Source organism: Homo sapiens, chromosome 4 (assembly GCF_000001405.40).
Source record: "Homo sapiens chromosome 4, GRCh38.p14 Primary Assembly".
Classification (NCBI taxonomy): Eukaryota; Metazoa; Chordata; class Mammalia; order Primates; family Hominidae; genus Homo; species Homo sapiens.
The window spans coordinates 25,266,677-25,279,993 of record NC_000004.12 but is presented as its reverse complement, the minus strand read 5'-3'; the positions used below and the strand labels follow the sequence as shown (position 1 = coordinate 25,279,993).

The window sequence follows — 13,317 nt, the reverse complement described above, 5'->3', positions numbered from 1 at the left end:
TAGTACAGTACTTCAATTTTTTTGTTTGTTTGTTTGTTTGTTTGTTTGAGACAGAATCTACTCTGTCACCCAGGCTGGAAGGCAGTGGTGTGATCTCGGCTCACTGCAACCTCCACCCTCCCTCCTGGGTTCAATAATTCTTGTGCCTCAGCCTCTTGAGTAGCTGGGATTACAGGTGTGTGTCACCACGCCTGGGCAATTTTTGTATTTTTAGTAGAGATGGGGTTTTGCCATGTTGGCCAGGCTGGTCTCGAACTCCTGACCTCAGGTGATCTGCCCACCTCGGCTGCCCAAAGTATTTCAAATTTTTGAAAAGTTTTGTGAATCAAATTATCTTCAAGTATGCAAAAACCATGTCTCCACAAACAGTCTTCAATTGCTGACAAATTTTGGGGTGATAAGGTGGTGGCATATTTAATTAAGTACAATTAAGATGTCTTTAATTATAAAGGTTTCAGTTAAATATCTTTTGGAATTATAAAGAATTAGGCTAGGCGTGGTGGCTCACGCCTGTAATCCCACCACTTTGGGAGACCGAGGCAGGCAAATCATTTGAGGTCAGGAGTTCAAGACCAGCCTGGCTAACATAGTGAAACTCCATCTCTACTAAAAATACAAAAATTAGCCGGGCATGGTGGCACACGCCTGTAGTCCCAGCTACTCGGGAGGCTGAGGCAGGAGAATCGCTTGAACCTGGGAGATGAAGGTTGTGGTGAGCTGAGATCATGCCACTGCACTCCAGCTTGGGCAACACAGTGAGACTCCGTCTCAAAAAAAAAAAAAAAAAAAAAGAATTAAACTATACCTTTAATATATGAAGAAAATGATAGTTTGGCATCATTTATAGTAAATGTGTTCATAAACATTCTAAATATTCCAAACACGTACATACAGAAGAACATAATCTTAAGACAATGATTTTTATTACCTTTAGTCTACCACATTTGTCACTATAAATATACTTATTGAAAAAAAACCATACTATTTAAATAAGAATTCAGTTCATGAAAGTTTACAAAATACAACCAATGTACTCTGACTTGTGGTTATATCTTAACTATCTCAACTGTACTTTTCTGGTATGGCCAGACCTTTTGCAAATATTACCATGGTATTTTAATTTTATGATATAAAACAGTAGCAATTTATTAAGTTTTCCATTATAAAAATTAATATGGCAATTCTCAAAATACTGAAAAAACTGTTTTATGAAAGCAGTACCCACATCACTGCAACGTATTTCCTTTCTCTTAGAAAACATCTTCAAAAGGCACATTTTAATTACTAGTGTTTATATCTAAAGATAGTAGTTTGAGTTTTGAATTTCCAGTCAATTTTCCATTATCTCAAAATTGAGCTAATGGAGGGTTGGAAGAGGTAGGAGAACGCAGGTTTCCAATGAACTCCCTCAGGGCAGCAGAATCCTCATTCATCTCGTCCATGAAGACCAAAAGGAAGATATAAGGGAAAAAGGAATGGCAGATCTGTTTTGCATCCTAATTTAACCTTCTACACAAAATACTTCATTAAAAGCAAATAAACAAACACAAGATAGTAAGCTTAGAAAACAAAAGGCCTAGACCACAAATTACCCAGTTAAGCCCAAGTGGTGACATTGGTTTTAAGCCTCAAGAAAATGAAACTTCTGCTTCTGTAAAATCACATCTTCATCAATTGAATTTAAATCACTTAGTGCATTAACAATGTTACAAATTCCAATAATGTCAGACATATGGATGATATTCAAAATAAAGTACAAAAATACATTTCAAAATCAAATATAAATGACTTTATGGTTATCTGCCATGCTCCCCTTTAATTTGGCCTGATAGTCTACATTTGACTGTAATTATAATAACATCTGTAATTTCAAGTACAATAGTACAATCATAATAATTTTGAAGAACGTATGACCTAGGACCCCAAAATGCAATCCAATATACAATTTGGAGTATGGTTTACTTTTTAGTGAAGTTTAATACTAATTGAAGTACTAAATTGAACAAGGCCAGTACTCTGAAGTACTAATCTCAAGTATTTGATCCCATGTAAGAAACAGAAGGGAATTTTTAAGGCAATTTTGGTATTCCAAAATATTGGGGATCTACCTTAATTTTCTATTATTCCCCTCAAGTCTCAATTGAATATTTCCATTTTTTAAAAAAAGGGGAAATTTCTTAGGTTTTTTCCTCACTACAACAAAGTAATTCACCAAAAATATTCTCAAGTACAAAAACCAAAATGGTCCTCTATTACTTAGCCAAGATATAATTTTCTGGTCCCTAATAATGGTCACTTTAGGAGTACTTATTCAAATTCTAAAATAGCAGCTTTTGAAATTAAGGCAACATTGCTTTATTCTTACCTGTTTTTCTATTAGCTAACTATTTTATTAAAGTTCGTAAGAGCAATTTCAGACGTAGGCATCCTCAAAGGCCTTTTGTAATGTAAGAAGAATTAGCATGAACATTCTTCTCAATATTAAAAGTTATTGTATTCTACTTGGAATTCTAGAGTAATTACAGTCATTCCAGCATGTGTAAAATTACCTTTTAAACTAACAACAACATAAAATACAAATTTTCTACAAAAATACAATATAGGAGATATAGCACTTCTTCCCTGAAATAGAAATTTAATATTTGGACAAAAAACTGTAAACTTTTGGTTACATTCAAAATACAACCTTTTAAAGACTTAAATTGAGGTTTTAGCAACTGGAGCTCCTAACAGCAGATTTATATTACTATGATGTTTTAAAAACATGATAATTCTAAACAGTTTGTTTCTCTTACTCTGACATTTACTACCAGGAGGAAAAAAATGGCTTCCTGCAATTGACAGTCTGGGTAAAGGAATTGCTCAGGTGGACAATCCGACCCTGACTTCCACCTTGACTGCGTTCCACAATCACACAAGGTATCTGTACTAGCTGGAAAGGACTCTTCCCGTCTCTCAATGCCTGAGTAAGGTTTAAGATCTGTGGGAAGAAGAGAGATTTTTACCAATTTAAAAAGATAAAAAGCTTCACTTCACTGACATTTTTTAAACCATTTATTCATTATAATTTTTATTTCATCCATTTATGAGCAACAGAGACTGTGAAGATAAGTACCTGTTATAAATATGTATTATATGAATGTATGTTTACACACACACGCGCACACACACACGCGCACACACACACACACACAATTAGCATTAAATAACTTTTGCCAGATGGTAAGTTTAAAATATTCTAGAATATCCTGCCTATGTCCAGGAGCAATGGAATCAAAGAACGGTAAGTGAAGAGGTCTACATACATATTCAATTTAACATAAAAACTCAACAAATACTGGTTTAAACAGTCTGGTTTTAACTAAATACTTGCCTTATCCATTCATTCAACAAATTTATTGTATGCCTACTATGTGCGAGGTTCTGCTGTAAGTGCTAGGGATACAATAGTTAAAAAAACAAGCAAACTTGCTGCCTTCGTAGAGCTTACACTTTAGCAGGGAGAAGAGTCAATAAACATGAATATGTAAATTATGCCATGTATTAGAAGGTGAAATTGCTATGGGAAAGCATGAAGCAGGGCAAATAGGTTAGAGAATTTGGGAAGGCAGTCATTTCAAATAAAGGTACATTTAAGAGTTTACTCTTAAGAAAAATAAAATTAGGGAAAGTAAAATATATTACATATCATGTTCAAAGATACTCTGGGAATTTCTACTTGGGCATGCAAATAAGGTTATGAAACACAATACATAGATTATTCTGGTCTCTGTTCAGGTCAAATAAAATTATAGCAGTTCATCTTCTTTTTTCCCTGCATATTAGGAAAAATGTCCTTTCTTGTATATTTTAGAAATACAGATTTCTCCTTCAGGTATTTGAAAATATCTAATATATACATCCTATGCATTTCACTGGTTCTTGTAAAGACTAGTCAATAGTGATAAGCATAAATGTTTCCACATAAAGCCATACTAATAAATAAACTTCATAATACTTTAAATAGTATAAACTAGATGGTTGGTTGATTGATTGATTGATTGACTGATTGATTGTAGAGATGGGGTCTTGCTATGTTGCCAGGGCTGATCTTGAACTCCTGGCTCATGCAATCCTCCTGCCTTGGCCTCTTAAAGTGCTGAGATTACAGGTGTGAGCCACCACAGCTGGCCAAACTAGATGATTTTAGTTTGTAGAATATTTGGAGCATTTAACACATCAGGAAAATAGATCTTTACTAGTAACAGTGTTATAGGTTATGTTTATGTTTTAGGATCACTTTTAAGTTCTTCCCTTAACATTTTCTTTTTTTTTGTTTTGTTTTGTTTTGTTTTTGAGACAGGGTCTTGCTCTGTCACCCAGGCTGGAGTGCAGAGTGCAATCACAGTGCACTGCAGCCTCTGCCTCCTGGGCTCAAGCGATCCTCCCACCCCAGACTCCAGAGTAGCTGGGCCTAGAGGCACACGCCACCTCAGCTAGTTTTTGTACTTTGTGGAGAGACAGGGTTTCGCTTTGTTGCCCAGACTGGTCTTGAACTCCTAGGCTCGAGAGATCCACCTGTCTCAGCCTCCCAAAGTGCTGGGATTATAGGCATGAGCCACCACACCCAGCCTTCCCTTAAAATTTCCTAAATTGACTACATTTGGATAACAAGAAAAAAAGAATTTATGAAATTTGAGTTTATTATAAGCATTGTTCCTACCATGAATATAAAAGTGTGCACTAGCACAGCTAAGGAAGGAAATGTTTTGGTTAGTTTCCTCTTTGGGTTTTAAGAATTCTATTCTAAAAATGTTAGCCTAAATATACCAATTTAAGTAACAGTTAATATTTTCCTGACTCTAAGAACAGTATGTGACTCTTGCAGAGAATATGGAAAACAGAAACGTTGACCAGGTGTGGTGGCTCATGCCTGTAATCCCAGCACTTTGGGAGGCCAAGGCGGGTGGATCACTTGAGGCCAGGAGTTTGAGACCAGCCTGACCAACATGATGAAACCCCATCTCTACACAAAAATACAAAAAATAAAAATTAGCTGGGTGTGGTGGCACATGCCTGTAATCCCAGCTATCAGGGAGGCTGGGGCACAAGGATCGCTTGAACCTGGGTGGCAGAGGTTGCAGTGAGCTGAGATCGCGCCACTGCATTCCAGCGTGGGTGACAGAGGGAGACTCTGTCTCCAAAAAAAAAAGTATAGGAAAACGGAAGTTGCTCTACAAATTATTAATTTTCAAATAGTTACAGAAATTGCATAAATTATTAAATCCTGAAATTAACCTATTAATATTTCTTCGGGAATTCAGAAGACACTTGATAATCCTGCATTTATTTACTAAGGAAACACTTACTGAGCACTCACGGTGTTGGGGAGAAGAGGGGACCAAATGAGGGAAAAGCCATGTAAGCCCTTAAAGAACTCAAATTCTAGAAGCAGCCACATGAACAAGTAATTGCAATACTTGTGTGTGATGGAAAGGACCTCTGCCCTGACTTTAAAATCTGATCCCCTCTCCCCAACATACCACCTAGTTTTTCATTTCTCAAAGAATAACAAATCTATTACTATCTGTTTAAATCAGAGTGGATTATTTAAAAAAATAGAATGGAGCAAATTCTGCAGGCCAGGGGAGACACTAGACTTCTCCACCCATGCCATAATGACAGCTTGACGGGGATGTGACAGCTGTGGTCCAGGCAGGTGGTATAAACTTGTGGGCTTCTACATACTGACTTTGCTTTCCTTTAGATTAGTTCGCTGGTCTTTAAATTTCCGTGGGCCTGAGAATTACTGCACTATATACATCAAACCACATATATTCTACTTTTTCGTAGATTTTAAGCTATCTCTCTATAGCAATGTACCCCATATGTTGATTTAAAAACCAAATTTCTGAGTAAAATGTGACACCAGCATATTCCCAGGGAGTGCTGCAAAAATCAGAACAGGAGGAGTTTAGGAAGACTGACGTGGATGTTGGAAGAAAAACTGTTTCCTAGATACAGAGGGCAAGGCATCGAGGGGAAAGAATCGCGTGCGCAAGAGCACCACTGGGAAAGGGGAAGGAAGAGCAGTTCAGATTTGCCAAGCCCAGGGAGAGGGGCAAAACGGCAAGAGATAAAGGTAGATGCACTGTTTGGAGCCCGACTGTGTTGTCGACTGTGCTGAAAGCCTGGACTTGAGCCTGTACACATGGACAAATTATAGGAATTTTAAATAACAGAAGACATACTCAGATTTGTTTTTAGAGATTGTTCTTGTTTCAGCGTGGAAGAGGAATGGGAGAAGAGGGAAGGTCAACTTAGAATGTCGGTAAATCCAGAGGAGAGATGATAAGGGCCCCGGGCAGAGGCAATGCCTAAATGTTGCCGATTGGCCAGGCTGGCAGGCGCCCTTATTTCACAGATACATGTTATTAAAGCCCTTTGAGCCAAAGTCATTCCACCTAAAACGTAGACTACTCTGTGGAGGTGTTTTGAGGATAAACAATAATAAGCATCATTAAAGTGTCCAGTAAGGGGTCAAGTACCAGGAGGTACTAAAGGGTTAGTTTCACTTTCTTTAATGTCAATTATTATTGAATCTGTAAATGAGTTTCTGGTATATAAATCTCTGAAGGTAAGTTCATTATGTTTTCAGAAAAAGTTTTAGTTATTATTTCTGCATTTTTTCAGGTCACATGGAAAATATATTTCACATTGCTTATAAGTAAATATATTCTCAGTTTCAGTGTTCCAAATTAGAATATAAGATGAATTTTACCTACCCTGATTATGACCTATTGCTATTTAATATAAAATTCAAAACATTGTTTATCTTTAACGTTCATAAACATTATTACCAGCTCTGAATTAAAAAAAAAAAACTTTCATATTGTTTCAGTCCACATCTTTATGTGAAGAATTAGAGCACGCCATTGATATATGTGTAAAACTAACGGCTTACTACAAACTAGGGCAAAAGACTTGGCTGTAGAAAGCACAAACCATTAAGTTAATAAGCAAAATTGGAAGGGAGAGGGATTTAAATGATATTTATAACTGACAGAAATAACACAAGTATTTTGACTTGAGGAATTTGCTGAAGTAATTATTCTGTTGTTTGGAATATAGGTAAATTTTTTTTTTTTTTTAGAGACAAGGTCTTTCTCTGTTGCCCAGGCTGGAGTGTAGTGGTGTGATCACAGCTCATTACAACCTTGAACTCCTGGGCTCAAGCAATCCACCCACCTTGGCCTCCCAAACTGGGATTACAGGTGTGAGCCAACACGCCTGGCCCAATACCTGATTTTTTAGATCTTTTTTTCCCTTCTTCTTAAGAGATGAGGTCTTGGTCTGTTGCCAAGGCTGCAGTGCAGTGGCTATGCACAGGTGTCATCACAGTGTACTACAGCCTCGAACTCTTGGGCTTAAACAATCCTCCTGCCTCAGCCTCCCAAGTAGCTGGGACAACAGCCATGAGCCACCACACCTGGCCTTAGACCAACTTTTTTTTAAAAAGTAAAAACAGCCAAAACCAGAGAGCTACATAGTCATGTACATGGTCAGGACATATTATCTTTTTTGGCTATCGGAAAGCTCAAAATCAAATTAAAATTAAAAAACAAAACAAAATCAAGTGACAACGTATAATAACCAAAGTATCATCATTTTATTTCTTTCTCTCCTAAGTTGTTGACCCTGTCATCTTCATATTTTATTATATTCATTTTTATAATGCCTTTTTCTTTTGTACATGAGATAAGATATGAGTAAATAAACCTAAAATAGGAGACAGCCACAGACACATCTTTGTAACAGGCCTCAGAACTGGAACACTCCCACACCTTCTTAGACAGGCTTTTTTTTTTTTAAGACAAGGTCTTGCTCTGCTGCCCAGGCTGGAGTGCAGTGGCGCAATCTCAGCTCACTGCAGTCTCCCCCACCTCTGGGGCTCAAGTGATCCTCCTGCCTCAGGCTCCTGGCAGCTGGAACTACAAACACATGCCACCATGCGTGGCTAATTTTTGTATTTTTTTGTAGAGATGGGGTTTCGCCATTTGCCCAGGCTGATCTTGAACTCCTGAGCTCAAGCAATCTGCCCTCCTCTGCCTCTCAAAATGGTGGGATTACAAGCATGAGCCACTGCACTCAGACAGGTATTTTTTAAAAATTTAAATTCCTCAGGTGTTAACTTTAAACCACAATTAAAGCTGACAAAATTATTTAACAGCTTTTATTTACTTCTTTATTTTAAATCAGATTCCTAAAATAAAAATAAACCTTTAGGGATAAGAAAGTTCCAGAAGATGAAGCATATTGATATGTCAAGTCAATTTATTTCAAACACAAAGGTCAAATCAAGGCATATTTATCTATGCCTAAAAATTTAGCTCAAATAAGTTTTGGGATGGCAAAACTCTGCAACATGATTATAATCATTGATCACCTAATCCTTCCATTGATGCCTCAATTACCAGAAAAAGCCTCTTAGTGAGGCTCCTTGGCTGTCATCTCCTCGTCTACTAAGCAAATCTGTACCCTACTGTCCAGCCCAGCCTTCTGCAGTAGTCCTTAACTTTTTTGAGGGATATAAATATTTTTGCTGAGATATAAATCCTATCTTCTCTCACACCCAAAATGCACATATTAACATTTCATACACAATTTCAAGGAGTTCATAGAAGAAACCCAGAATAAGATCTCCTTTTCGAAAACTTCTGTCTCATCACAGCCCTTCTTTAATGCTTAATTTCTAACTGCTCCAATCCTTTCCTTGTGGAATCTACAGTCTGGTGTTTAAGGCCCTCTATACTCTGGCTCCATTCTATTTCTCGAGCCTTCACTTAACTACTTAAAACTCATGACTGCATTAAGCACTGCATAAATGTGATGGAGCAGAGAGATGCGTGAGCTAATAATCTAAAATCACCTGTCCCTTTTCACCGAGCCCTGGCCTTCTCTGCAGAGCAAAACTCCATGACAGCAGAAGCTTGGTTTTGCTTACTGCTTTATCTCCAGTGACTAGTTGCCAGCACTAGTTCTGTCAATAAACATTTGGTGAATGAATGAATGATTCTCTGTGTAATTATATGGACTTGTACTTCTTTGCTACAGGTATTGTGGCAAACAGCTACCTTAAATGTATATTTTAGGAAGAGAATGTTAATTTATAAGACGCTAAAAGACAATGTTTACAGTATAATTTATTTATATTTCAAGCTTTCCTTTTGGAATAGAAATACCATTCATAGAGTCCAAGAAGCAGAAGTCATCTAACAGTGAGCCCAGCCTGCAGTGAGCCCAGCCTGCAGATCCACATCAGCAGACTTAATGCCTTGTACTTCTAACCTTTAACTAAAGGTGAGGAGGGGCTGGGCACGGTGGCACACACCTGTAATCCTAGCACTTTGGGAGGCCAAGGCGGCTGGATCACAAGGTCAGGAGTTCAAGACCAGCCTGGCCGACATGGTGAAATCCCATCTCTACTAAAGATACAAAAAAATTAGCTGGGTGTGGTGATGCACACCTGTAATCCCAACTACTTGGGAGGCTGAGGCAGGAGAATCGCTTGAACCTGGGAGACAGAGGTTGAAGTGAGCTGAGATCGCACCATTGCACTCCAGCCTGGGCGACAGGGCAAGAGTCTGTCTCAAAAAAAGAAAAGAAAAAAAGAAAAAAAACCAAAAAAACAAGAGGAAAGGGGGGTCAGGGAGAGGACTGAGTTACAATTAGTTTTTTCATGTCACAATTGATACTCAATCTTGGTGACATGGTTATTTAGTGACTGCTCTAGCAAAAGCCACATTCCGCGAAAAAAGAAAAAAAGTAATCTATTGACAACAGAACTTGGTACTGAAATGTCTAAGTGAGTGAATCTGAGAGGGAAAAAGGTAGTGATGCCCAAGAAAATAGCTATCAAAATGGGGACAAACAATTCATAGCAGGGGAAACACTGAGCTAAATAAACAGTATACAACAAGGTCAAAAATACCTAAGTTAGGCTGGGCGCGGTGGCTCACGCCTGTGATGCCAGCACTTTGGGAGGCTGAGGCGGGCAGATCACGAGGTCAGGAGATCGAGACCATCCTGGCTAACATGGTGAAACCCCGTCTCTACTAAAAATATAGAAAAAAATCAGCCGGGTGTGGTGGTGGGCGCCTGTAGTCCCAGCTACTCGGGAGGCTGAGGCAGGAGAATGGCATGAACCTGGGAGGCGGAGCTTGCAGTGAGCCGAGATCGTTCCACTGCACTCCAGCCTGGGCTACAGAGCGAGACTCTGTCTCAAAAAAAACAAAAACAAAAAAAACCCACCTAATTTATAAGATAATAGAGGGAAGAAACTATTTGAATCAACTTCATTTCTTTTTTTTTTTTTGAGATGGAGTTTTGCTCTTGTTGCTCAGGCTGGAGTGCAGTGGCGTGATCTCAGCTCACTGCAACCTCTGCCTCCCGAGTTCAAGCGATTCTCCTGCTGCAGCCTCCCAAGTAGCTGTGATTACAGGTGCCCGCCACCACACCCAGCTAATTTTTTTGTATTTTTAGTAGAGATGGGGTTTCACCATGTTGGCCAGGCTGGTCTCGAACTCCTGACCTCAGGTGATTCACCCGCCTTGGCCTCCCAAAGCACTGGGATTACAGGCGTGAGCCACTGCAGTCGGCCGAATCAACTTCATTTCTAATAATCTGGGCTATTTTGGTTCAGCATAAGAGGTAGTATTAAAAATTCCATCTCCAGATCACAGTGGGGAAAACAGTTGACTACTGTTTCAAAGAGATTTTTTTCCTTATGAACAAATAAAAAGGTAACTTACCTGACCCCTCATCACAGACATCTGACTTTCAAAAGTGGCTTTGTCAAATCCTTTGTCAGTCTATTATAGAAAGGAAAAAAACAATTCCCAAAATAAAGACTTTGATATAAATATTTGAAAACAGATGAACTCTTCAACTCAGCAAATAAGGCCATTAAAAAGCTTTCCTAATTGATAAAATAAAACAAAAATAGTATTTTTACCTGAGGTATTTTTGTATACTCCCAGAATGACACGAATAGACTTATTTATTTGGACCTGAACTTGTTCCAGAAAGGATTTAACATGACTTTCCAGCCAATGAATTTAGGCTTTTTAAGAGAACTAAAACATAGCAGGTCACCAAATATGTATTATAATTTATAGAGTCTTCTTGTAAAAATTCAACTTTTGAAGAAAACAGCAAATTAAGTTTTAATGTAGTCTCACTTCAAAGAATGCTCACAGTAAGTATAGCTTTATGAATCTATGCTCCTGTAAATAAAACTGCTAATTCCTCTCTGTCCTGTCAGGTTTTATGGCAAGCAGCAATACAAGAAATAGAAAATTGCAAATCAGCTCTATTAAGCAGTCTCTTCTATTTTAAGATTTCATTTTCTGCAATAATCAAACTAAGCATTAACTTACCTTAAAAAGTTCATAGAGATCTTCACATAAATCTTGCACAAAGTTCATGTCAGAAATATATGGTAGAATCAAATTTCTTATTTCTTCAGAAAAGGGAACTTTTGCTTGAGGAAGCCAAGCCCAGTGAAATGGATCTAATAGAAAAAAGCATTCTCCTAATCAGTGGTAGGAAATGGTTTATTTAGACTTACATTTTTCCCGGTTCTTTCCTACAACTCCTAGGTTCTCCCCAAAAAAGGACAGGATAAGAACTTAATCAGAGTACAACTACCCACTGCAATCCAAATTACTCAGATTTGGACAGTCAATTCAGGTAGTAAACTAGTAATGTCTCTGAGTTTTAGACAGTAAAGAGTAAGAGTTTAGATAATGAATCTATCTCAAATAGCTCTAAATGTACCTCAGTCTATCTGGTTCCTCAGTTCAGAAACTGATGAATACCTATACTTTGTACACAGCCCCAGATTGTTTTTATTATTATATATTTTTAAGATAATGGGTCTCACTGTGTCACCCAGGCTGGAGTGCAGTGGCAAGATTACAGCTCACTGCAGCCTTGAACTTCTGGACTCAAGGGATTCTCCCACTTCAGCTTCAAAAGTAGCTGGAACTACAGATGCATATCACCGCACCCGGGCACAGATTGAATACCACAGCTGAGGTCTGCCTAGCCTCCACAGCTACAAATCATCAGAAATTGACCACTTACTTGTACACAGAAGATGTTCTAAACTTTGAAATCATTAGGAGGTAAATGGGTGAGTCATTTTAAGAGACAAAAGATCCATGACTCTAAGCTATCTCTAATTCTCCCTCAAGAAGACCATTAAATCTAAACTACGCCAGGACTAGAGAGATTTGTACAGGTATAATCTTCTAGAGAGGGTGCATATTCAGATTCCTGCAAGAGTGTAAGGTTTTTGACATGATCATCCACAGAGCTACTGTGAGCATATCCAATGAGAATCCCCAGCTTTGGTGGATCCTACCACTTTGAAAGCCCTGAAGAAGAAATCTGCCTTTGGAGTCATTCCTCCTCAGTCACTCAGGCTAGGGTGCAGTGGCACAATCATAGTTCGCTATAGCCTCAATCTCCTGGGCTCAAGCAATTCTCTCGCCTCAGCCTCCCAAGTAGCTAGGACTACAGGAGTGCGCCTCAGCGCCTGGCTCTCACTTCTTGATCTATCTCATTGCACACAGTAGGAAGGTCACTTTTCATTCTAAAGAAAGCATTTCCCCTGGCTCACATCTCCTTGTAGATATGTCCAATTTTCTTTTTAGTTTTCCCTGAATAATTTCATAGAAGAAAGGCCCTTATTTTTCATCTGCCTCTACATTTAATCCCAACACTCAACTTCTAGTACTACTATCTAAACACTCTCTCCTAAGGCCACCAGTCACCAGACCCAAGGGTCTGTCCAAAGGCTCACTTGCAGTTGTCATGCTACCTAATCTCTCTGTAGCATGTAGCACTGTTTTCTATCATCTCCTTTATGAAATTCTCTCCTCTATGGTGTTGGAGATACCACTCTAAGTTTACCTTCTGTCTTGTAAGCTACTCCTTCTCTCTTTTGCTAGTTTTTCCTCCCCTCTTTCAATGTCACTGTTACCCCTGATTCCACACTTAGTCCTTTCTCTTCTCTATTTATTTAAGCATTCATAAAACATTCACTGAATACTTATGTACCTGGCATTGTGCTAGGCAATAGTGTTTGTTCTCTGTGATTTTCCTCAGTAATAGCAAACACTACCATGACTTCCATCAACAAGATGACAGTTTAAAAGCTATTTCCTCTCTCTCATATCCCAGAAAACCAAAAAAAAGAAAGAAAAAGAAAAAGAAATAAAAACTATATCCCCACTACCAATTCCTTTTCAAGCTCCAACCTTTAATCCCCAA

At 38.4% G+C, this 13,317-nt stretch overlaps 1 protein-coding gene across 4 annotated transcripts in view; it reads right to left on the bottom strand.

Moving 5' to 3' along the window:
• Positions 790-13,317, bottom strand: part of PI4K2B (phosphatidylinositol 4-kinase type 2 beta) — a 45,172-nt gene continuing 32,644 nt past the window's right edge. For all 4 annotated transcript variants that reach the window (NR_144633.2, NM_018323.4, XM_005248174.3 and 1 more), the window contains exons 8-10: positions 11,418-11,551; positions 10,791-10,850; positions 790-2,980 (exon numbers count right to left, since the gene is read on the bottom strand). Coding sequence is in view for 3 of the 4 variants with exons in the window: in NM_018323.4 (NP_060793.2) it covers positions 2,807-2,980; positions 10,791-10,850; positions 11,418-11,551 (368 nt within the window). In the remaining variant the exon portion in view is untranslated. The remainder of the gene's footprint in view (positions 2,981-10,790; positions 10,851-11,417; positions 11,552-13,317) is intronic.